General features: G+C 41.6%; 2 protein-coding genes across 12 annotated transcripts in view, besides 2 other annotated features; both read left to right on the top strand.

Moving 5' to 3' along the window:
• The window catches only part of TPD52-MRPS28 (TPD52-MRPS28 readthrough), a 252848-nt gene that overhangs the window by 3821 nt on the left and 222494 nt on the right, over positions 1 to 26533 (top strand). The window lies entirely within an intron of this gene.
• The window catches only part of TPD52 (tumor protein D52), a 140483-nt gene that overhangs the window by 3821 nt on the left and 110129 nt on the right, over positions 1 to 26533 (top strand). The window lies entirely within an intron of this gene.
• Positions 9221 to 9460: an enhancer, noted in NCBI's record as "active region_27562". NCBI's record gives its function as "activates an Ori minimal core promoter by ATAC-STARR-seq in GM12878 lymphoblastoid cells {active_cell/tissue: GM12878}" and the evidence as "EXISTENCE:reporter gene assay evidence [ECO:0000049][PMID:35858748]".
• Positions 20998 to 21047: an enhancer, noted in NCBI's record as "active region_27561". NCBI's record gives its function as "activates an Ori minimal core promoter by ATAC-STARR-seq in GM12878 lymphoblastoid cells {active_cell/tissue: GM12878}" and the evidence as "EXISTENCE:reporter gene assay evidence [ECO:0000049][PMID:35858748]".

The raw sequence follows: 26533 nt of genomic DNA, 5'->3' as shown, positions 1-26533 counted from the left end.
GAATAACACAATAATATGTCACTATCATTTTAACATTGTAATTGTGCCTTAGAAATAAATAACAGAAATGTGGGGTATCATTTATTTAAAAATAAAGCAAATGTAGAGAATAATGGATAATAATTTTGAGGGTCTACTCCCAAGTCTCTGGGTGTGACCCACCCCATCCAGGCTGTTAATTTATTTGGTCAACAGTTTCGTGATTTCCATATGGTGCTGATGTCTTTGTTAGCTCTTCTTCACTTCCTGCATTTATTTTTATGTGGCAGGCTGCCTAGTCCCTAGGGGAATAGCTGAGTGGTAGGAGGGGTTGTGATCTTTTAGCAAGATTTCAAAACAGAATAATGTATGCATGTAATAAAAACAAATACGCTCACTCACAGTGCAAAACCAAAAAGAACACCCAAATCCCTGGAACTTCTGTGCTACTAAGTCTTTTGTTGTAGGCTAAGATTATTTTCCTTTTGGGGTTAATTATTTCTGCCTTAATTATTGACTGTTGTGAAATCTCTCTTCTGAGACATTCCCAAATTTTATTTAAACTAGTGGGTACCAGCTGTACTGAAACCATAATTTTAGCCATGTATTTTTATTAGAAAAATGTTTCCAGGGGATTAAGGAATTTTAATATTTAGTGGAAGTTTTAAAAAAGAATGTAAAAATGCCTTTTGGAACCTAAGAATAGTTGTCTATTTTAGAAAAATCAGAAATATTGATGGAGAAAAAAGAAAATTACCCATAATCCTGTGCGAGAATGAGAAATCATAGTTAGCATATTAATTTATACCTGTTCATGTATCTATGCTTTAAACAAATCACAATTTTATTATTATTTTTTTTAACAGTGTCTCGCTCTGCCACCCAGGGTGGAGTGCAGTGGCGTGATCTCGGCTCACTGCAACCTCTGCCTCCTGGGTTCAAGCAATTCTCCTGTCTCAGCCTCCCAAGTAGCTGGGACTACAGGCGCATGCCACGACACCCAGCTAATTTTTTTGTATTTTTAGTAGAGATGGGGTTTCATCATGTTGGTCAGGCTGGTCTCGAACTCCTGACCTCAGGTGATCTGCCCTCATTGGCCTCCCAAAGTGCTGGGATTACAGGCGTGAGCCACTGTGCCCGGCCAACAAATCACAAAATTTCTTATTGAATATTGCATTTTATAACTTGCCCTTTTAAAAAAACCCTAAATGTATTTAAAAAATACACTTTAATGGCCGCATGTGGTGGCTCATGCCTGTAATCTCAGCACTTTGGGAGGCCAAGGCGGGCGGATCACCTGAGGTCGGGAGTTGGAGACCCGCCTGACCAACATGGAGAAACCCTGTCTCTACTAAAAATACAAAATTAGCCGGGTGTGGTGGCATATGCCTGTAATCCCAGCTACTAGGGAAGCTGAGGCGGGAGAATCGCTTCAACCTGGGAGGCGGAGGTTGCAGTGAGTCTCTCTCTCTTGCCCAGGCTGGAGTGCAATGGCACCAATTTGGCTCACTGCAACCTCCACCTCCTGGGTTCGAGTGATTCTCCTGCCTCAGCCTCTTGAGTAGCTGTGACTACAGGCGTGTGCCTCCACGCCATAATTTTTCTATTTTTGTAGAGATGGGTTTCATCATGTAGTCCAGGCTGGTCTCGAACTCCTGGCCTCAAGTGATCCTCCCGCCTCAGCCTCCCAAAGTGCTGAGATTACAGGTGTGAGCCACTGCGCCTGGCCTAGAGCAGCTCCATTTTTAATGGCCATTTGTATGTATTTATTTATAGATGTAACATTTTATATACTGTTATAGACAATATTTAACTTGTTCCCTGTTGATGAACATTTACATTTTGCCTTGTAGGGGAGGAAAAATTTCTCCCTACCCTTTTAGGGTTTCTGGCGAGGCCTAGGAATTAAACCAACATGAGATAGATTAACAGGAGAAAAGCATGCAAATTTTATTTAGTGCTTTTTATGTATTACATACCTTTTACCCTCACAAGAGGAATGAAGACTCAAGGAAGTGGCTTGGCCTGATCGATTATATACTAGGTCAAAAAAAGAGTGGCAGTTGTGGAAAAGTAACTAGGAAGGTAAGGTTTAGTTTAGCAAGGTTTCTTTATGCAGATTTCTTTGGGCTTGGACTTCCTGTGATAAGAATGTTTCTTTCTTCCTGGTAGAGGGAGGACATCTTTCATATGGGAGCTTCATCTTCTGCTTTCAGGAAAAAGAGAGGAGGTTTGGGTGCCCTTCTTAACACCTGCTGTTTTTCAAGTGCCTTTAGCCCAAAATAATCAGCATGCTAAAGTGGAATGTTTTGGGATGCTGTGTCCTGAACTCCTTCACCCTGATATTTTGCTGTTAAAACAAAGCTGCAGCAAATGTATGTGTATGCAAGTCATTCCATAAAAATGCCAGTGTGTCTGTAGGAAGAATTCTTAGAAGAATGTGGCTGTTCAATTTTGATAGTGCCAAATTCTGCTCCATAGAAGTGGTGCCAGTTATACTTCCACCAGCATGTGCGAGCGTTTGCTTTCCCTTGCCATGTGGCCAGGATGTTGCCACACTTTTCCATTGTTGCTTGTCTTATAGGGGAAAAATGGTTTCTCAGTATAAGTCTTACTATATATATTTAATATAAAGGTAGTTTACTTCTTTTGATATGTTTACAATCTACATGGCATTTTCTGTGAAATATCTGGCCATATCTTTTGCCAATTTTTCTATTGTATTTTATAGAATGTACCCCGTTTATGAGATGAGTTGTTAATTTTTTTTCTAGTTTGTCATACCTTTTTTGACTTTATAGTGATTTTTTTTAACCAAGAAGAAATACTAATAGCTCTTTTTTTTTTTTTTTTTTTTTTTTTTTTTGAGACATTGTCTCCCTCTGCCACCCAGGCTGGAGTGCTGGAGTGCTGGAGTGCAGTGGCATGATCTCTGCTCACTGCAACCTCTGCCTCCCAGGCTCGAGCAGTTCTTGTTCAGCCTCCCAAGTAGCTGGGATTACAGGTGCGTGCCAGCATGCCTGGCTAATTTTTTGTATTTTTTAGTAGAGATGGGGTTTTGCCATGTTGGCCAGGCTGGTCTCGAACTTGTGGCCTCAAGTGATCTGCCCACCTGGGCGTCCCAAGCTGCTGGGATTACAGGAGTGGGCCACCATACCCAGCCTAACTAATGGCTCTTTTCATTTATGGATTCTAGCTTTTGAATCATTTTTAGAAATGCCTCCCTCACTTTGAGTTTATGCTTTTATGGTTTTATTTTTTATGTTTAAATCTTTCCTCAATCTGGAGTTTGTTTTGATAATGAGATGTGAGGTATAAATCTTAACACCTCCACCTCCAATTGGCCACCCAACTGCCTAACACCATTCATTGACTAATGGCTTCTTCCTCTATTGATTTGAAATACCACTGTTGTCATGTACTAAATTCTTACATTCTTTTCTTTTCTCTTTATCTGTATGTTCATTGCCAGCAGCTAAACCTAGTTTAAGTTATTGTAGCTTCATAAAATGTAAAAATGTCTGGAAGGGCTAGTTTGCTCTGATTACTCTATTTTTTTTTCTGTCAGTTTTTTTCTAGGTATTCTTGCCAGACTATTTCCAAACGAACATTAGAATCAACTTATCTAGGTGAAAATTCAACAAAAATCATGCTGGCAGATCTTTTTCTCCTTCTCTCTCCTCCCCCCTTTCCCCTTTCTGTCTGTCTGTCTCTCTCTCTCTCTCTCTCTCTCTCTCTCTGTCTCTCTCTCACAGTTAGAATTTGGTCTGTTTCTTTATTCAATACCCCAATATATGTTCATTAGGGTTATACTGTATACACTACACATAACAGTTTTGTTTTTTGTTTTGGATATTATTTGATAATAAGAATTTTACCACATCATTAAAAAAAGTTTCCCCAAGCTATAATTTTTGATAATTGCACTCTTCCACTATTCAAATGTTTATTTAACTCTTTCTCTCCTGGAGTAGGTTTACATTCCATTTTAGCTATGATACTGCTTTAAGAGAAATTGTTTTAAGATAAATTTCCATAGACAGGTCAAAGGAGGTGAATATATGTAAGCTTTTCGATGCCTGTTACTGAATCTCATTCTGGAAAACATAACTGTCAATGCCCTCTTTTTCTCATGGTAAAAAAATACATAACAAAATTTACCATCTTAATCGTTTTTAAATGTACAGTACGATAGTGTTAACTGTATGTACCTTGTGCAACAGATCTCTGAAACTTTTTCATTTTTCAAAATGAAAACTCTGTACTCATTGAACAGCAGCTTCCCAACTTCCCCATTCCTCCATCCCCTACCCCTGGTAACAGTCATAGAAACCGTGATTTTATGAGTTTGACCACTTTAGATACCTCATATAGGTGGAATCATGCAGTATTTGTCTTCTTGTGATGCTTATTTTATTTAGCATGATATCGGGGCTCATGCGTGTGTAGCACATGACCCAATTTCCTTCTTAAGGCTGAATAATATTCCATTGTATGTATGTACTACATTTTCTTTATTATTTATCTATCAGTGGAAATTAAGGTTGCTTCCACATCTTGGCTGTTGTGAATAATGCTGTAATGAACATGAGTGTGCAAATATCTCTTTGAGAGCCTGTGTTCACTTCTTTTAGAAATATACTCAGAGATGGGATTGCTGGATCATATGATAATTCTGTTTTAATTTTTTCAGAACCTTCATACTGTTTTCCATAATAGCTTTACCAATTTACATTTGCACCAACAGTACACAAGGATTCCAGTTTCTCTCCATCTTTATCAACACTCGTTATTTCCCGTTTTTTTTGTTTGTTTGTTTGTTTTGTTTTGTTGTGTTTTGAGACACAGTCTCACTCTGTCACCCAGGCTGGAGTGCAGTGGCTCAATCATAGATTACCATAACCTTGAACTCCTGGGCTCAAGTGATCCTCCTGCCTCAGACTCCCAAGTGCTGGACTTACAGGTTGAGCCATTGTGCCAGGCTGTTTTGCCTGTTTTTGATCAGATTAGTTGTTGAGTTGTACGACTTTTTTATATATATGTTCTGGATATTAACCCTTTATTGGATGTTTGGTTTGCAAATATTTTTTCTTATTACGTAAATTGCCTTTTTATTGTCTTTTTTTTCTTTTCTCTTTTTAAGAGATTGAGTCTTTCTCTTTTGTCCAGACTAGAGTGCAGTGATGCAATTCTAGCTCATTGTAGCCTTGAACTCCTGGGCTCAAGGAGTCCTTCTGCCTCAGTCTCTCTAGTCATTTCCTTAAAAAAAAAATTACAGAGCTTATAGGCTTCAATTTGTCTGTTTCCTAGAGAGGTTATAGATGTTATTATCCATTTGTATTTCCCTCTAGAGATTGTTACTTATCTACTTTGGGATCTTAGTGTGTCTTGCCTTCTCATTGTTCTCTGTCACCTTCCCTCCTTGGCAAGTATTTACTTTTTCTATTTTGCTTATCATTTTGGTTATGTTGGATCTTTCAATGTTATTTTTATTAGCAAAATACAGTATTAGGAGCAAATATTTTCCAGGTGACATTTTGGGGGTAATTTGCATGGCTTTCTGTGGCTTTCAGTACTTCCTTCTTGGTGTCTTTTCTGTTTAGACACTTGTAATTGGTACTAAAAATAGTGATTTCAGACAGGCTATTAATTTACATGCCTTGGCTCATAATCATGGTGAGTGTGTTTTATGTTACAGCTATACAAATGTAAATGTCAGTTTTAAAAATTATTTAAGGCCAGGTGCGGTGGCTCACACTTGTAATCCCAGCACTTTGGGAGGCTGAAGTGGGCGGATCACTTGGGGTCAGGAGTTCGAGGCCAGCCTGGCCAACATAGCGAAACCCTGTCTCTACAAAAAATATAAAATTAGCCCGGCGTGGTGGTGCATGTCTGTAGTCCCAGCTACTCAGGAGGCTGAGGCAAGAGAATCGCTTGAACCCAGGAGGTGGAGGTTGCAGTGAGCCAAGATCATGCCTCTGCACTCCAGTCTGGGTGACAGAGCGAGACTCTGTCTCAGAAAAAAAAAAAAATATATATATATATATATATAAATGTGTTCTTGATAAAAGTTTTGGATTGGGAACTTATTAACAGGATGAAATTTCACCCATTGTATCCTTAGTTTATTTGGAGGCATTGTGGTGTGGAAAAGGAGCTTATGGTCCAATCAGGAGGGCTTAAGAAATAAAGATGATAGTTTATCCAACCCACTAGAATGTGTACTTGGCTAGAAATAGTGTCACTAGAATAGGAGACTGCCTTACATTTTATTCCCAGCTTGCAGTTCAAGTATGAATGTAGTAGGTACTCCATAAATATTTCTCATATTGCACATACATCAATCAAAAAGACTTCTAGCATTAATAGAGTCAGATGGATTTGGATAGAAAAGACTAAGAATTAAAGAAGGAACATGGTTTGGCAGGGAGATAGGAATATATGTTCTAAATATGCTTATAGTCTTACATATAATCACTGAAAATCTGTCTGTGAATATAAGTTAAATTGGTACTTTGCTCCTAAGGCAGGTATGTAAGAATGTGTGTGTATACATAGGTAGAAGAGACGGTGTTGGTTAAATTTTTATTCTTGAAAGGATATTGGATATAGTGCTCAATAAATACTTCATAAACACATTTTCAGTGCTGTTCTATTGAAGTTAGTTATTTACTTCTTTTTTTCTTTTTCTTTTTTTTGAGACAGAGTCTCGCTCTGTTGCCCAGGCTGGAGTGCAGTGGAGTGCAGTGATTGAGGCTCACTGCAACTTCTGCCTCCCAGGCTCAAGCAATTCTCGTGCCTCAGCCTCCCAAGTAGCTGGGACTACAGGCATGTGCCACCATGCCGGGCTATTTTTTTTTTTTTTTTTTTTTTTTGTATTTTTAGTAGAGATGGTGTTTTGCCTCGTTTCCCAGGCTGGTCTCGAACTCCTGAGCTCAGGCAATCCACCCTCCTTGGCCTCCCAAAGTGCTAGAATTACAGGCATGAGCCACCGCCCGTGTCCAGCCAGTTATTTACTTCTAATGCATTCTGAGCCTAGGAGACATGGATGGCCTTAGCACATGTTAGTAGTAGTTTTTAAAAAACACATTTCAGAAGGGCAAGCAGTATGTTGACAGTAGTGGAAAGTGCTTGCTACTAGTAAACCAGAACAAAAATTCTGTAAAGAGGGAAAAATGCAAACATTTTGCCTGCCTGAGACATTTGGCAAATGGATGATTAATCTTCCATTTCAGTATGGAAGTTGGAATATTCCATATGGAAGTTGGAATATTAAGTATGGAATATTATTTTATGAGAACCCAGAATGAGAATGATGACGATGATACCACATGGCCTTTGAGAACTCTTACTAATTTTCTACATATTATCTTGTTTCAGTCTTTCAGTGCTGCAGGAAGGTAGGACTGGTACATTTTCATTTTATATATGAGGAAACATAATCTGAATGATCACGACTTCCCCAGATGTACTCTGCTGGATGTGGAGAGCTCTACAAAAGCTTCGTTCCAAATCTGTTGTCTCTAAGAGAATAATCTGGAGTCCAAGAAAAATTTAAACTACTTTTTTTTTTTGAGATGGGGTCTTGCTCTGTCACCCAGGCTGGAGTGCAGTGGTGCAATCATGGCTCACTGCAGCCCTGACCTTATGGGCTCAAGCAATCTTCCTACCTAAGCCTCCTGAGTAGCTGGGGCCACAGGCGCACACCACCATGCCTGGCTAATTTTTTTATTGTTTGTAAAGGCAAGGTCTTACTATGTTGCCCAGACTGGTCTCGAACCCCTGGGCTCAAGTGATCCTCCTCCCTCGGCCTACCGAAGTGCTGGGATTACAGGTATGAGCCACTGCCTGGCCTAAACTACATTTTCTAATCAGTTTATAGGGCTAGGAACATCTCATACTTTTTAAAGAAATGTTTTCTTTCCAAATAATTGAAACAAAATTGGAATCGGAAGTAACAGAGCTTCAGCTTTGCATTACAATTAAGTTTTCCAGCTGGGGTTTTACTGGGTCATTTTTAGTAATACAACTACTGTGGTTACCAGCAACAACATTTATTGTTTTCTGTATGTCAGGTTCTGTCTAAATGCTTTTCATGTTTTATTTTTGAAAAATTTCAGAACATACCCTATGAGCAGATGCTAACAGTATCCCTACGTTACAAATGAAACAGGGCATGAAGGGACAGAGTAATAACTTTTTCAGGGGCACACAGCTTGGCGCAGACAGGTCTGGGATTTTGATCTGTGATGTCTGGCTAGAGAGTACGTGTCCTTACCCAGCCTATACCTATACTACATAAAAGTTGCAGACAATCTTCCTTTTCCTTGCAAAGGTGTTGTTCAAAAGCACAGTACAGCTGTGGTAGGAGCCATGGAAAGGAGCACCAAGCAGTGTATCTATACCAGAGTCTGGCCAGTGTGTCTGATCTTATGCATCAGAATTGATTGTAAATTAGTTCAGAATACTGAACCTGAAGTCATATCGAGGTTCAAAATTTGGCTTCATCATTTTCTGGTTGTGAGACATTGGATAAGTCACTAAACTTCTCTAAGGCTGATATCTCACATATGCATGAAAATTAGGTACAAATCTGTTACTAGTACTGGTGCTCAATAGATACTGATTTTTGAAACTGAATATTAGATACTTCTGTAAAATGCTAACTCAGTGGTTCCCAGTTTAAACGAAACATTTTATTTCTTTAGAGACAAGTGTGATATTGGACATAGTGCTCAATAAGTACTTCATAAACACATTTTCGATGCGGTTCTATTGAAGTTAGTTATTTACTTTTTTTTTTTTTTTTTTTTTTTTTTTTGAGACGGAGTCTCGCTCTGTCGCCCAGGCTGGAGTGCAGTGGCGGGATCTCGGCTCACTGCAAGCTCCGCCTCCCGGGTTCACGCCATTCTCCTGCCTCAGCCTCCCAAGTAGCTGGGACTACAGGCGCCCGCCACTACGCCCGGCTAATTTTTTGTATTTTTAGTAGAGACGGGGTTTCATCGTTTTAGCCGGGATGGTCTCGATCTCCTCCTGACCTCGTGATCAGCCCGCCTCGGCCTCCCAAAGTGCTGGGATTACAGGCGTGAGCCACCGCGCCCGGCCTACTTCTTTTTTTTTTTGAGACAGGGTTTCGCTCTGTTGCCCAGCCTGGAGTGCAGTGATGCGATCTAGGCTTTGAGCCTGCTCTCAGGCTCATAGGCCATTCTGAAGAAACAAACATACAAATAGGCTGCTGTAGTAGAGTAGATGTTGTGAAAAGTTTATAACCCTGGCTGAGGAGGAAGTGAGCAACGCTGGCTGGGGTCTTCAGAAAAGAATTCCCAAAGTAGGTGACCTTTGAACTTGGACTTGAAAGCTGCTATTGACTGAATGTTTGCATCTCCCTCACCCCCATTATCCACCACTCTGGCAGTGGTAGATAATGCTGAAAGATTTGGGTTCCATGGATGGGGGTGGGGGGTGGAGTTGAGGAGAATTGGGTTGGGGTTGAAGAGGAGTGGGGTGGGGAGGAGGAGAATGGGAGGGCTGGTACAATGGATTGCAGGCCTGTGGGAATGGGGGAATGGTAAAGGGAAGGCAACCGGAAAGGGAAACTGCTCTTTGGAGAAGTCATGGGTGTTTTAAAGGGAAATTTGGATTAAGTGATGGGAATTTGCTTGGCTATTCCCAAGCAAATATTCCCAAGCAAATAGACTATAGATATTAAATTTGAATGTCGTTTTTAGTTCCTCAGTAGAGAGGATGAGTAGTTTGGCATTTGTGTGTGTTTGTAAAATGAGAGCAGAAACTAGAGGCATGGGAGAATAACTGGATTTGCTATGCCTGTGGATGCCACTGGTTTTAGTTAAGATGCTTTTAATGCAAAATGTATTTTAATAGTGATATCGTAGAGTTTGACCTTCAAGAAGCTCAAGTCTGTAAGCAATAATTCACTTTAATGTGTAAGAGCCTTGCAGAGAATAAGAACATATTAAATATTTGCAGAATGAAAGTATTATACTTTCCCTGGGTGGTATGATAGCCAGAGAAGCAGTTTAGTCTAGAGGTGACATTTGGGTGAAATTGTAGTAATGCTGTGATTTTAGAATTTTAACCAGTGATTTCTAAGGGCCAACCTGAAGCTTGTTTTCATCGTGGAGTGCCTTGGCTATGGGACTGATTTGTGCAGCTTCTAGATTTGTTAACTATTCTCGCTCGGGTTTTTTTGAGAAATGATTTTCATTCCAGAACAGCAGTTCCTCGACCTGAGAGTCGGTCAGTGCTTTTCTTCAGGTCATTGTTGAGGGGGAAACCTATCGGCCAAGCCTGCCTCTCCTGGTGACTTTATAGTGCTGTGACTTTATAGTGACTTTACACTGCTGATTGTGTCAGGGATTCAATGAAAATCCTGACTGATGGTAAAGAGGGCATGGCAGATTTCTCTTGGTTTAGGAGTTTTATTTTTCCCAGCATTACCATCCTTTCCCAAACTTATTTCCTTTTTTTTTTTTAGCCTTCAAGAGGGGCCTCTGGTTCCAGGAGCCCTGTCTTCGCCTTGGTTGGGCTCTGTCTGGGGCTGTGGTCACTGCAGATGACATTCTCTTGACTGGATTATTAATTTCATGATGATGACTATAGATACTAAATTTGAAAAGTAGTGAAGTCTGATGAGGCAACCAGCTTTTCAAAGTGCATTTTGTGAATTCCCTCCAATCCAAAGTGGAGCGGGAACCTCAAATCACTGGTTAGACTTGGTATTATTAAATAATCAGCTCCATTTTGGCAAAGAGCAGTCTCCCTTTCTGGTTGCCTTCCCTTTACCATTCCCCCATTCCTGCAGGCCTGGAATCCATTGTACCAGCCCTCCCATTCTTCTCCACCCCACCCCACTCCTCTTCAACCCGACCCCAATTCTCTTCTACTCTACCCCAATCCACAGAGCCCAAATCTCTCAGCATTATCCACCACTGCTTCTTATCACCAAATCCAGTATCTACTCTTCCCTCTCAACCTACTTGGCATCCCCACAGCCTTGGAAAGTCCAGCACTGCATTTCTTAATTCGTACCTTCCTTTCCCCCTGAGATGTTCACATTCCATGCTCATTTCTCCTTGTTTCTCCTATTCTTTTTCCTGGGCCATCTAAACAGCTTAATAGCTTCAAATATCACACGTCCTCAGGTCTCCTAAACCTTGATATCCTGCCCAGCTCTTTCTCTTAGAAATCCATATGTCACTCCTGAATCTACCCACATCAACATCCCACAAAGACTTGGTGATGGTTTTAAAACATGTTCACACATTCGTTGATACTCCTCCCTCCAAAAGGTGTTCTGATTCCCCTCTCCTTGAATATGGGCTGGCCTTTGTGACACATTTCTAACTAATAGAATGAGACGGAAGTGACACCATGTGACTTCTAAGGCTAGGCCATAAAAAGCCACACAGCTTGTACCTGCCTCTCTTGGAACTGCTGCCTTGAGAACCCTGAGCGAACATGTAAGAAGCCTGGACACCCTGAGTCTGCATGCTGGAGGCCAGGCAGACAGAGACAGGTGCCAGGAAACCTCAGTTGCTAGGTCTTCCTGGTGTCAGTAGCCCCTCATGTGAGCGGGTGCACCTTCAGATGCCCCTAGCCTCAGTCTTCAAGTCCCCCCAACTGAGGCTGAGTGGAGCAGAGAATAGCTGTCCTGACCAAGCCATGCCCAAACTACAGTAGTGTGACCATAATAAATGCTGTTGTTTAAAACCACTAAGTTCTGGGGTGGCTTGTTATGCAGTATTGGATAACTGGAGCAGACCTTAAATATGATGTACCCCCCAAACAAATGCATCATCTCCATCCCTTCATCTGCTCTTCTTTCTATATTTTCTTTTCTTTTCTTTCTTTTTTTTTTTTTGAGATGAAGTTTTCCTCTTGTTGTCCAGGCTAGAGTGCAATGGCACAATCTTGGCTCACTGCAACCTCTGCCTCCCGGGTTCAAGCGATTCTCCTGCCTCAGCCTCTCGAGTCGCTGGGATTACAGGCACACGCCACCATGCCTGGCTAATTTTGTATTTTTAGTAGAGACAGAGTTTCTCCATGTTGGTCAGGCTGATCTTGAACTCCCGACCTCAAGTGATCTGCCCGCCTCGGCCTCTCAAAGTGCTGAGATTACAGGCGTGAGCCACCGCGCCTGGCCCTTTCCGTATTTTCTATCTCAGTAACTTCTCCATTCAATCTGAAAGATTTTCTCTACTTTTCCTTTTCCTCAGATGCCTCGAGTCCCCCTCCACTGCTCAACGTCTGACTATTCCAACCCTGAGCCTTGCAGAAATCCAGCACTCACACCCCATGACACCCCCTACCTGGTTTGAGGATTCATAAATGCCTTTTTGCCCTCTCATACCTCTGCATTGTTGCACTTGCTGAATCTTCTTCGTAAATTTCTTTCCTTGCTGTTCTCTTTATTCTCTCACCACCTCAAATCACTGGAATAGGGAGACCCAAGGAAAGGGAGAGAGATGGAGGAACGGCCAGTCAGTGGAGCAGTCAGAACACACACAACATTTATTGATTAAATTTGCTGTTTTATACAAGCATGGTTATGGTGCATGAAAGCAATTACAATAGTAACATCAGGCCTGGAGCAGTTGTTTATGCCTGTAATCCTAGCTACTTGGGAGGCTGAGGCAGGAGGATCGCTTGAGCCCTGGAAGCGGAGGTGTCAGTGAGCCAAGACTGTGCCACTGCACTCCAGCCTGGGTGACTGAGTGAAACCTTGTCTCAAAAAAAAAAAAAACAAAAAACCAAAAACACAAAAAGCCAACCAACCAACCAAACAAACAAAACAACCCCAAAAAACAATTATAATAGTAGCCTCAAAGGTCTCTCATCACAGATCATCATATACATAATTTATGTATGATTTATGTATTATATAACATTTTGTTCTGCAGGAATAATAGAAAAAAAACCCTGAAATGGATTTCCTACTTTGTTTATTTATTAGTTAATTTCATTGCTACTTCAAAGCTAATGTAGGTGTTTTGTGTGTGTGTGTGTGTGTGTGTGTGTGTGTGTGTGTGTGTGTGTGTATGTCATGATTCAAAGCATAGAAGAAACATTTTGAATTATTAATTGAGAATTTAAAAATCATACTTCATTAGTTTAGCTATTTGAGTTTCTCTGTATGAATTTTGGGCTGAGGAGAAACATAGAAGCCACAGCAGCTTTCCCTTTTCTTGATTCAAAGGTGTCATAATTTAAAAACTTTTTAGAAGATGAAGAGGACATTTGATTTTTTGTTATCACTTAAGGGGAGAGGGAAGTAAGCAGTGAGTCAATTGCAATTCAAATCCGGTGCCATCCCAGGACATAGACCTCTGTAGTATTGTCACGTCCACCTTGGGCTTTGCGCACATTGGCCACCAGGGAGGGTTCGACTCCAGAGAGCCTCACCTGTGTCTAGAGCTTGGGGAGGCTGCGGGCTGGGCCTGCCTCTTCCACAGGAGTCCTGGGAGCCCTCCTGATACTCCCCATGGGGGACAACAGGGCCCGTTGCTTCTCTGTCTCTCTTCCTTCTCCTGACCAAGTTGCCTGCCCATGCAGTCACCCTTTAGCTTTTGATGATAATATTATTTTTTAGAATTTTAAAGGTGTGTTCATTTTCCCACCAACACTCCTACTTCATAACCTTATTTTGTGCAGTGAACAAAAGAAGATGTGATTGTGTCCTTCACAGTGGGGCAGGTTCTGCTCATCCTTTTTGTAGAGGTTGGAAAAGGTGAGTGAAAGGGCGCATAGGGAGGGATGGGGATGGTTTGGGCCTTTCTGCTGTTGAAGAGTTTGAAATTCTTAGTTCTTTTCAACCAGTTCTATGTGGAAAGAAAGGTATTTTATTTGACAGTGATACTAACATTGAAGGAGTGTTTCCTAGGGCCTGGCTCCCGCCAAGCATCTATGGGCAGCAAATGCCCTGTTTGTCCCTCACATCAGCCCTGGGCAGATGTATTTTCCCTTTTCCTGTTTTACTGATGAGGGAGCTTAAAATTTAGGGAGATTAAGGACCTCCCCAAGATCATAGAGTTTATCACCAATATTTTACTGACTCTCCATAATATAGAGAGCTCTTATCTTAAATGAATTGGTTACAGATGTAAATTTGCCAAAATGGAGGTGATTTATTTAATAATACCAAGTCTCAAATGTTGGAGGTTTTAACTTTGAATTATTGACTTAACCTCTAGTAGAATGTTATGATGCCAGTGTAGCCAAAAAAGAAAAGAGAAAAAGTCTTGCTTTTGTTGATTTTAAAAGTGCCTGGGACCTAGGAGGGGAGAGGGCAATGATGAGATGTGGAAAGTGCTGGAAGGGAAGCATTCTGCTTACCCCTGTCCAGCCTTCTTGAGGGATCATTGCTCCCTTTGAGGAAATAGTTTTTCCTTCCAAGGCAATATACTCTGCTTATTCCAAGGGAAGCCAATGGACAGCTCACCGTGCGGGCCCCGTGTCTTGGAAGCACCTGTGGTGCCATTAACTTCCTTCAGTTCCTGGAGCATTGCAGTCAAAGCAGCTGTACTTAATGTAGTTCGTATTTTCCTGCACTTGAAGTAATTCTTTATCATTTTTTGCATAAGTTATACATAACCTTAGTGGAGAAACCTGTGAAAGCATAGAAGTAAGACATTTCTTTGTAATAAAATCCTAGTAACCTCAGCACTCTCCTCCCACATTTGTTAGTGCCTAAGAGTCTTCTTTTATTTAATATACATATAAATTCAGGGTCAAATATGCTATCAGAAACAATTCTAATGAAGGTAAAAACTAATTTTATTCACAAATGTTTTTGTGTACCCTCTCTTTCTCCCCTCCCCAGCACACACCCCGTCAAGTTGATATTCAGGTTCTTAATCACAAGCATTTACTTGCCACATAGGCTGTCTTTGGCAGGCCTATCAGTTTCCTCAATTCGAAGGAAACCTGAGATCTGCTTGTGCCTGGCATTTTTTTTTTTTTTTTTTGAGACGGAGTCTCACACTTTCGCCCAGGCTGGAGTGAAGTGGCGCAATCTCGGCTACTACAACATCTGCCCCCCAAGATTCAAGTGATTCTCTTGCCTCAGCCTCCCGAGTAGCTGGGATTATAGGCTTGCACCACCATGCCCTGCTAATTTTTGTATTTTTAGTAGAGATGGGGTTTCACCATGTTGACCCGGCTGGTCTCGGACTCCTGACCTCAGGTGATCTACCTGCCTTGGCCTCCCAAAGTGCTAGGATTACAGGCATGAGCCACCGCTCCCGGCTGCCTGACATCTTTCATGTGAGAGATCTTTGGAGCTAGATGCACCAGTTACTCTTTTGGATATTAAATGGTAGTGGGTGTTTTTTGTTGTTGGGAATGAGTGTTTAGGAGGAAGGGTGTTTTCATCACAGCATTTCACACCTCCTTTGGTGCTGCCATTCGAGTTTGCTTCTGCCCATGTGATTCTGTCAGGTACTATCAAGGGTTGGCCTGGCTTCTTCATCCTCCTGCTGAGGATATGGCTGGCCTCTCTCCCCGGTCAGCTCTCTACCTGTGGGTAGGAAAAGGTATTCAAGATTCACCTCCTGCTCCTGGGGTCGGGGGGGCATGAAAGGCAGGTCTGATCTTCTCCCTTTCTCGAGCTGTTACTGGCTATTTAGAAAAGTCTGTTCTGGAAGGTGCGTCTAAAGCCTGGGTGTTGCCTTTCTAGCGTTGCAGTATTCTATTTTTGAAGTGATAGAGAGGTGCAGGGCTCTTGTTTATATTGAAAGCTGCTTACCAGGAAGTACTTAGGTCTCTTCTGACAAAAATCAACATAAGCGCAATTAACATTGTCTTGCTTTTAACTTAATTTGCTTTCTAATTCATTTAGCAATGGATGTATTACTAAATGACCTTGTAATATATCTTACACCTGTCAAAAGACAAAATTACAACAAATTTAGTTATAGATCTAATTGGCATTTATTCATTATTTGGTAAGTGGGCAGCCTCCATTCTATAAAAGAGACTGAGCTTCCACTGGGCAATGTCAGAACAGTGCCTTTTATAAGGGAACAAAGAAACAGAACAATAGAAAAAAAAAGCTGATTGGTTAACAACAAGTTACTTCAGGTTACTTCTTTTAAAGGTTAAAGCAGAAGAGACTTTCTTATTATGCTGATTCTGGTAGTTTGGAATCTCCTGTTTCCAGAAAAAACTGATCTTTTTTTGGGGATCTACTGCTTCTTTAAAGTTTCAATATGATTATGTGGCAGTAAGCATGAGTGACTCACTTTGGTGTGGTCTGGCTTTTGGGTCCTAGTGCAGGAGCTTAGTCCAAAAACAGTGGCCTCCCATAATTTTTGTTTAATATACTTTAACAATCACTTCGGCTGTTTCTTCAAGTTTTAAGCCTATTCTTTTTAGAGGTAAAATATACTTTTGTTATTTCTCTTTCCCATTGTAATAGTCTGTTCTCACATTGCTAATAAAGACATGCCTGAGACAGGGTAATGTATAAAGGCAAGAGGTTTAATTGACTTACAACTTCACATGGCTGGGGAGGCCTCACAATCATGGCAGAAGGTGAATGAGGAGCTAAGTCATGTCTTACATGGTGACAGGCAAGAGAGAGCATATGCAGGAGAACTTCCCTTTATAAAACCATCAGATTTCATGAAACTTATTCACCATCACAAGAACAGCACGAGAAAGACCTGCCCCCGTGATTCAGTTACCTCCCACCAGGTCCCTCCCACGACACATGGGAATTATGGGAGCTACAATTCAAGATGAGATTTGGGTGGGGACACAGCCAAACCATACCTTTCTTCCCCTGGCACCTCCCAAATCTCATGTCCTCACATTGCAAAGCCAATAATGGCTTCCCAACAGTCCCCCAAAGTCTTAACTCATTTCATCATTAACTCAAAAGTCCACGGTCTAAAGTCTCATCTGAGACAAGGCAAGTCCTTTCCACCTATGAGCCTGTAAAATCAAAAGCAAGTTAGTTACTTCCTAGATACAATGAAGGTACAGGCATTGGGTAAATACAGCCATTCCAAATGGGAGAAATTGGCCAATATGGAGGGGCTACAGGCTCCATGCAAGTCCGAAATCCAGTGGGGCAGTCAGATCTTAAAGCTACAAAATGATCTCCATGTCTCACATCCAGGTCACGCTGATGCAAGAGGTGGGTTCCCATGGTCTTGGGCAGCTCCACCCCTGTGGCTTTGCAGGTACAGCTTCCCTCCCAGCTGCTTTCACGGGCTGGCGTTGAGTGTCTGTGGCTTTTCCAGGTACACAGTGCAAGCTATTGGTGGATCTGCCATTTTGGGATCTGGAGGATGATGGCCCTCTTCTCACAGCTCCACTAGGCAGTGTCCCAGTGGGGACTCTGGTAGGGGCTCCATACCCACATTTCGCTCCTGCACTGCCCTAGCAGAGGTTCTCCATGACAGCCCTGCCTCTGCAGCTAACTTCTGCCTGGACATCCAGGCGTTTCCACACATCCTCTGAAATCTAGGCGGAGGTTCCCAAATCACAATTCTTGACTTCTGCATACCCACAGGCTCAACACCAGGTGGAAGCTGCCAAGGCTTGGGGCTTGCACCCTCTGAAGCCACAGTTGGAGCTGTACCTTGGCCCCTTTTAGCCATGACTGGAGAAGCTGGGACACAGGACACCAAGTCCCTAGGCTGCACACAGCAGGAGGGCCCTGGACCTGGCCCAGGAAACCATTTCTCCCTCCTAGGCCTCCAGGCCTGTGATGGGAGGGGCTGCCTTGAAAGTCTCTTGACATTCCCAGGAGACATTTTCCCCATTGTCTTTATGTTTGTCTAACGTTTGTCTCCTCATTACTTATACAAATTTCTGCAGCTAGCTTGACTTTCTTCCTAGAAAATGGGTTTTTCTTTTCTACTGCAAATTTTCCAAACTTTTATACTCTGCTTCCTCTTGAGTGCTTTGCCACTTAGAAATTTCTTCTGCCAGATACCCCAAATCATCTCTCTCAAGTTCAAAGTTCTACCATTATCTCTAGGGCAAAAAGCCACCAGTCTGTTTGCTAAAGCACAGCAAGAGTCACCTTTGCTCCAGTTCCCAAGTTCCTCACCTCCATCTGAAACCACGTCAGCCTGGACTTTATTGTCCATATCACTATCAGCATTTAGATTAAAGGCATTCAACAAACTTTCCCACATTTTCCTGTCTTCTTCTGAGCCCTCCAAACTCTTCCAACCTCTGCCTGTTACCCAATTCCAAAGTTACTTCCACATTCTTGGGTATCTTTACAAGCAGCACCTCACTATACCAGTGCCAATTTATTAGTCTTTTCTCACACTGCTAATGAGGAGACATACTGGAAAGTGGGTAATTTATAAAAGAAAGAGGCTTAATTGACTCATAGTTCCACATGGCTGGGGAGGCCTCACAATCATGGTGGAAGGCGAATGAGAAGCAAAGTCATGTCTTACATGGCAACAGGCAAGGAGAGCGTGTGCAGGGGAACGGGCCTTTATAAAACCTTTATAAAACCATCAGATCTCATGAGACTTACTATCACAAGAACAGCATTGGAAAAATCCGCCCCCATGATTTAATTACCTCCCACTGGGTCCCTCCCACAACACACGGGAATTATGGGAGCTGCAATTCAAGATGAAATTCGGGTGGGGACACAGCCAAACTATATCACCTATGTAGTGGCAAATCTTTTTTTTTGTTTGGTTTTGTTTTAATAATTGGATATTTCTTTTATATGAGGCTGTAACAACACTTTTTGCTTCATCTTCTCTGTGTAAATAACTTAAGCTTTTTAATGGATACAGCTAAAAATTTGGCCTTGTTAAAGGAGGAAAAAAATAGGCTGAATAGTGGGAAGTGAGCAGAACTGTGTTTGCTTTTAGGTTAAAAAAAGAAATGATTTTTCTCTGTACAACAGAGAAACATGGCCCAGAAAGTGGAATGGCATACAGCTGTTTCTTTGTAGTTCTTCAGTCTTCAAGCATGGGCTTTTGCTTGTATCAAAATATAAGTGGGTTATGATGACCTCCTAGAATCCAAGAGAATAAAGCTTGAAATTGGAGTAACTGATGTTCCCCAAACCCCAGAGTGAGAATGTGCTTTTATTTAGCATTTTCTCTTCAGCAAAATCTGAAGAGTGCTTGTTACAGAGAGCAAAACTTTTACTTGATCTTTTGTCAGAAAGTTAAAGAATTAAAAAAAGGCTGTTTTAGATATTGGCTTTAAAACTGTTGTTTTATGTTGTTATGTCAAGGGTGATGCCACACACTGTTGACATCAAATCCACCAAAATCTCACTTAAAAACAATTTAGGGCCAGGTGTGGTGGCTCTTGCGTGTAATCCCAGCATTTTGGGAGGCTGAGGCAGGAGGATTGCTTGATCCCAGGAGTTTAAGACCAGCCTGGGCCACATAGGAAGATTCTCTCTGTACACACACACACACACACACACACACACTTAGCCAGGAATGGTGGTGCACTTGTAATCTCAGTTACTTGGGAGGCTGAGGCAGGAGGATCACTTGAGCCCGGGAGGTTGAAGCTTCAGTGAGCTGTGATTGTGCCACTGTTTTCCAGCCGGGGTGACAAAATGAGACCTTGTCTCAAAAAAAAAAAATTTAGAAGTGGAAAATTTGTAAGTTTTAATAAAATACCACTTACTTTTTAGCTCTGGTTTGGAACCTGACTTACAGCAATAGTAGGGAGATTAATAAGGTTACCTCTTAAGGCAGTCTCTCAAATGAAAATTGAGTATAGTTATCTTATTTTTAGATTTATAGATGTCTCTAAACCTTATTTTAAAGTGAGTTCCTGACTACTCTTGTGGCGTTTATTTTATCTTTACAAGCATTGGCAGTAATGGTTGATTTCACTTCTGATTATGAAGTTAGTAGGAAATAAAGTACAGGGGGTGTGGGGGGTGTGTGTGTGTGTGTGCGTGTGTGTGTGTATGTATGTGTGTGTGCACATTTTCCAGGCCCCACTGTCTTGAAGAGGCTTGATTAGGGATTAGAATGGTAGTGGCTAGAGGGCCTCACTAAGGTTTGTTCCATAGGTCTCAGAGCTCCCTTTTTTGTCGCCTTTGCCCTGCTGCCCTGCTCAACAACCCCTGCAAATGTAAGGATGATGGTGGGGGCTGGGAGCTGGGGTGGCCGCTGCCACATGTAGTGCTAAAGAATCAACAAAACAGGACAGCAAAAGACTATGCAAATAGTTTAGCTTTCTCAAACAAGGTCTTCATTGTTCATTCTTTTTCATCCTTTGGTAGCTAGCTGTCCTTCCTACTAGTGTTGACTGTTTGTCATGTACTCTCTCCACCGGAGTCACCAGTAAGACCAGCTGAACTCTGTTGAGAGTTTTGGAGTAAAATTCTGATTGGACGTGGTTTTTTGTGCTTTTTGTGATCGGCAGTGTTTCAGTAGCTCTTAGTTCCCGGAACCTCATTCTCCTATCCCGTCAGCGAGGTCTCCCTTATTTTTGCTGAGATGCATGGTTAACCATTTCCCCAGGCTCCTCCCTAGCACCTGCAGTATCTTAAAAATGGTACTTTTAACTTCCAGGAGCAATACATGAACACAAGAGTATAGATAAAGATAGGCAAGAGTGTAGATAAAGAGAGTTGTGCAGAGACTTCATCTGGTGCAAGTCTGGCCAACCTTTTCTTAGTGATTTTTATGCCTGCCCATGTAGGCCAGTGGTTCTCAAGCTTGTTAAAACAAGACCTCACACCCTCAGAGGGCTTGTTAAAACAGACTGCTGACCCCACCCACAGAGTTCTGGTTCAGTAGGTCTGCGGTGAGGCCTGAGAATTTGCATTTTTAGCAAGTTCACAGGTGATGCTGATACTGCTGGTTCAGGGACCACATTTGGGAATGCTATATAGCATGGGATTTTTTTGTGTGTGCCTTTTAGAAAATCAAATGCTGTCATGCTTGTGTTTCTGTATTTTTCATCAGCTCCATGTCATGGAGCACTTTCTGTGCTAGTACATATTGATCACTTCATTATTTTTAACTGCTACATAGTGTACCCACATATAAATGTGCCTTAATTCTATTAATGGATACTTGATTCTTTCCAGTATTTTTTGTTAACTATTATAAATAAATCCTGCATTGAACATCTTTGTTTATTCCTCCTTTATGCAGCTATGTTTGTCTAGGGTAATATGGAGAAGTGAAATTGATGAACATGTGCACTTTTTGTTCTATTTTTGTTTTAATAGATAATGGGACCATCACTCTATGATGCTCACCACATTAATGCCCGGCCTTAGGTAGTTTGTTTTATTCTCTGCCTAAGCTGAGGCTAACCTGGAGTTGCTAGGAAAATCATAAATGTGCTTACTAGACCCTTTATAAACTGAACCTGAAATGGGCTTTGGGCTGCTAGCCAGTTTTTCTAAGTCTTTTTGTAGACTAACTAAAAGCAGTGATAGTCAACTGTTTTTTTCCCCTACCAGCACACCTGGTAAATAAGAATTGCCCTTAGCAACAATGGCTCACTTAGGTGAACTTCCAGGGGCTATACATCCAAGTATATTTTTTTGCACGACTTCAGTGCTAGACTTTTCCAATCTGGATGTTCTTACCTCATGTTAGATTCCGTGTATGTATAGCCAAATACAGCATTCTTTGTCCCCTCTGCCTTCTAAACCAGTTTGTCCTGTTTCTGTTCTGCACAGTGATGTGTGTTAGGTGAGTTGGGCTGTAGGCAGGGCAAGTGGGTGTTACGTCCTAGCATTACCCTTTTTAATTTTTTGGAATTCATAAATTAAAATTGGGTGGGGGAGAGCTCACACTGAGTTGTCTACTCCTTGTTTTGCCAAGTTATTAAAATCAACTAACAAAAAGCCACCATGTTTTTATAGATATGAGATTTTTAACACTCCTCCTCCCCTTCCAAAAAATCAGGAAAAACATTATCTCAGAATAAAGGGCATTACTTTTAAATTTAGTTTCAGGAACACTGTGGGTTTTTTCCCTCCTCCTTTCATCTCGGACAAGTGAAAATGCTGCTATTGTCTAGAGTTGCCCTAGGTTGTAGAGAAACTGAGTCATTTCTTGAAGAAAAGATTTGATGTCTATATTACATATTCCTAATTAGTTCCCTATTAGTTTGTCATACTGCTGATGATGTTCCTGTCTAATAGTAACTTCTGGGGCATGAAGTGGGCCCGGAATGTGCAGTACTCCTGAAAGAAGAAAAATTCTTATGATTCCTACAGTCACCCATTCCCATTCCCGGAGCACCTGCTATGTGCCCAGCACTGAGCTGAGTCCTGGATACAGAGAAGTAGGGGAAGGTGTTCTTGCATTTCGGCTGCTCCTTCATAGTCTAGCTTCTTCAGTAGCACATAGGCAACTTTCCCGTGAAAATGTGTTCGACCTTTTGTGGTGCAACTGCCATGCCCGCTCAAAGATCACCTGCCATCAAAATCTTCACATAGATTCATCACTTCTGGCCACATGCTAGGATTAAACAAGATTACTGTTATATCTTTGAGCCTTGTGGGAGAATCTGCTTTTCACTTAGCTGTTCATGCAGGGCAGGGTGAAGCAAAGAAATCCTTTCTCTTGTAAGGAAACTTTGATATCTCTTACCTACTTCTGTGCTTCTGCTTTGGGATGTGAAAATACTCTACTAAGTGGCAACAAAATTTGCACCAGTTTTTAACACCAGTGCTTCCCAGATAAAGAGTGACCCTCCAGGAGTTCTTCAGCTGAGCCTGAGTTAGTTGCTCATTTTGAACCTCATGTGGTGTGTAGAAATGAATTAAAAAATAACCCACAGAGTAACTCATTATAATCTTAATCCTTTCCACACAACCAGGATATAAGGGCTTATTAGGCTTTGAATAGATACTATGCTTATTAGGTTTTTTTTTTTGGTTGTTATAACTTACTGGACAAGGTGCTACAGGGAATGAGATGACCTACAAATTTAGACAATCCTTGAGTTTGGTTAGAATGCACACCGAATACCATGTAAAAAATGCACACAAAAAGCCATGTCAAGGAGACAGTCCAACACCTGTCTGCCCCAAAGAACTGGTTGTGGTCTCCCTTTCTGGGTGTATTTCAGTGACTCTGATAGAAAAGGTGTTTTTGAAGGAGGGATGGGTGGCTGTGAGTTGTGTGTGCCTCCCATGAACTTCCCTGGGAAGACCACTATTCAGAAACCTAATAAATATTTAATGTAAGAGGAGGCACCTATCTGTTATCTTTCATAGCGCTGAAGGGCATGCTGCAGTTGCTATGGAGAGGCAGGTGCTGGCTCAGCTGTGTGACAAAGACAGGCCCTCAGGAACAGGAGCAGGAGCAAAAGGTCATTTAACCTCAGCTGGAAGTGCCTAGTTGGTTCTGATGAGTATTGATTAGTTTTTTTATGGGCTGTCCCATATTCTAATATATGTAACATTTTTAATTGTTCAGTGTTTTTTAAGGCACTGTTTTATTTTGTCAGAATTTGGCTTCTAATTGCAAAATCCTAGCCTTGTATGTTGGTAATATTAAGATGTAATTTATGTACTAATTGGAATATTGTGATATTCTTCATAGTAGGAAAAAGAACAAAATATTATGATATATGTAATATTACAAAATATTACACAAATTTTTCCTGACAGAGATTACTTTCATTTGAAGAAGGTGAAAGTTCTGGTTGATTCTGATTATACCTTCAACATTTTTAGAAGCTGATTACAGAATTTGTCATATAAAATTAAAATTTTTGTTGTATAAGAGGTATCCTTTGGGGAAAAAATTTAAATTTTAGAGTATTTTACATGGATTTCACCTTACAGATTCATCAACAAACAAACTAATGTGACTTTTATGATTGTTTAAAATGTTAATTTTTATGTTTCATGAACATTACAAGAACATAAATGGCATTTTTCTGTAAAGTGTTTTGCATATTTGTCTGCTTTGATGTTTAATATGGTGGAATGTACTAAAATCTTAATAAATGTTTAGCTTCCTGTTGCAATGGAACTATCAAATCATTAGTAAGTTTTTCATTGTTTCTACTTTCTTAGTTCCCTAAGTTAGGGTTATGTGATACTAAGTTCTAGAAATGATAATTTTTGATTGATCAGTTGGTCGCTTTTAAAATGATGGACATTTTGTTAAACTATGAAGCTTAAAAAAAGAGAGAAATGAATCCATGGCTCCTGCACGTAAGGAAGGTGTAGACAGGTGGTGGATGCTAGCATATGAGTTAGCTACAGTAAGCTATTAATATATAGGGTGGTGCTGTGTATAATTAGCTCACTGTGGGTGGCTTCCTGCCAAGTTTTAATGAGTTTTGGTCAAAGAGAAATGTATGTCCCAAAGGAGCCAAACTTTTAATTGGGGTTATACGTAAGTCTATCAGTGAAGTTGAGGGTTATGTTTTCAACCCTGGACCCTCATTCGGGATTTGTAGCAGTAAAGGCAAATAAAGATGACTTGACTTTGGGTCCTTATGTTAGGGTTTAGACCTTCTCATTCTGGATACAACTTCTCGAAGCCTGGCTCCAGAGAGGGGAAAAGAAGTGAGTGATTTGACAAGCATTGTTCTTGGTGGTATATACAAACTCCTAGATTGATCATATTTCATCTTTTCAGCAGTTGCCTTAATAATTTGTAGTAATTTTCAGATGGGAGATGTGAGAGTCCATGAAGTAGGTACTTTCCTCCTAGTTCATATGGTTCATAGTGGAGTCAAGATCCAGACCCCATCTATTTAATTCCCAAGTTCATGCTTTGTGACCATGGTCACCAGATACTTAAGACATGGCAGCTGATTTGGAGGGTGTTGCTCTGTTGATTGGTGAACTACCTACTTTTACCTCACTTCCCCTGAGTGTGTGCATCCTTACATGCACATGAGGAAATACATGAATGTGTGTGCGAGGTCCTAGCTCTTGCTGGATTCTGGGCACAACAGTCAGCAGTGTCGTCAAGTCAGAGTTTCTATAGATTATTCCTCCTTCCCTATTCTCTTTTAATGGGACTGTAAGGGAGAGTGTAGGGGTAAGGAAGGGAAGGTTGAGTTCTGCCCAGGACCAGTCTGATTGTGCTTTCTTTTTGTGACAGAGCCTCACTCCGTTGCCCAGGGTGGAGTACAGTGACATGATCTCCACTCACTTCAACCTCCACCTCCTGGGTTCAAGCAATTCTTGTGCCTCAGCCTCCTGAGTAGCTGGGACTACAGTTGTGCGGCACAACACCTGGCTCATTTTTGTACTTCAGGCTGGTCTCGAACTCTTGGCCTCCCAAAGTAATCCAAAGGGATTATAGGCATGAGCCACTGTACCCAGCCTGATTGTAATTTTTGTCTTCCCCTTTTTGCTGACCTGCTTTATTTTCCAGTTGTGGTCCTTGACTAGAGACAGCGTCTTCACAGTTAAGCCTTTATTACTGTGGACCAGCCCAACCTTAATTTAATGTCCAACAGGATCACTTCCCAGTTTTTCCTGTACACAGGTACGGGGTAGATGAGAATCTCTGATATGACTAGGCTAACTGCTCTCCATGAGAAGATACAGACCCGATTTGTGCCTTTGGGAGCTCATGGTTAGTATGGAATGCAGGCATATGAGCCTTAATTGCAACACATGACAGAATAACGTCACTGTTAGAGACTGACCCATGCCATTTAAGAGAAAGAAGTGATGCTGGTGAGTGAGATTCCAAAGCATTTTCATAAAAGACAAGCCACTTTCCTTGGATCTCAACTTTTCAGAATTTTGATAGACCTAGGGAAGAACATTCCAGATGAAGATGGTGTGGCTATTATCTTAGTATCTATTGCTACATATTATCCCAAAACTTAGCAGCTTAATAAAATATTTTTTTATTTTTATTTTTATTGTTTTTTTGAGCCAGAGTCTGGCTCTGTCGCCCAGGCTGGAGTGCAGTGGTGCGATCTCAGCTCACTGCAACCTCTGCCTCCTGGGTTCAAGTGATTCTCCTGCCTCAGCTTCCCAAGTAGCTGGGACAACAGGCCCGCACCACCATGCCCAGCTAATTTTTGTATTTTTAGTAGAGACGGGATTTCACCATGTTGGCCAGGATGGTCTCGATCTCCTGACCTTGTGTTCTGCCCACCTCAGCCTCCCAAAGTGCTGGCATTACAGGCGTGAGCCCCCGCGCCCAGCCACATTTATATCTCACAGTTTCTGCAGGTCAGAAATCTGGGGCTGGCCAAGAAAGTGGTTCTGGCTCTGGGTCTTCCATGAGGTCGCAGTAGAGTTGTTGGCTGGGGCATCAGTCATCTCAGGGCTGGAGGATCTGCTTCCAAGCTTACTTGGGTGGTCATTGACAGCAGGTGCCAGTTCCTCACCCCAGGGACCTCTCCATAAGGCTGTTCACAACGTGGCTTCCCTCAGAGCAAATGATGCAAGAGAAAGAGAACCCAAGAGCTGTATTATTCTGTTGGTCACACAGACCAACCCTGGTGCCACGTGGAAGGGGCCTACCCAGAGGTGTGAATGCCAGTGATATTGGGGGTCATAGAGATGACCCACTGGGTAATGAGTAAGGAAAGGTACAGGGCGTCTGTAGCTGGAATTTAGGGG

The sequence above is a fragment of the Homo sapiens genome, chromosome 8 (assembly GCF_000001405.40).
Source record: "Homo sapiens chromosome 8, GRCh38.p14 Primary Assembly".
NCBI classification, from domain to species: domain Eukaryota; kingdom Metazoa; phylum Chordata; class Mammalia; order Primates; family Hominidae; genus Homo; species Homo sapiens.
Note: the sequence above shows the minus strand (reverse complement) of the source record. Positions and strands in the feature narration are given on the sequence as shown.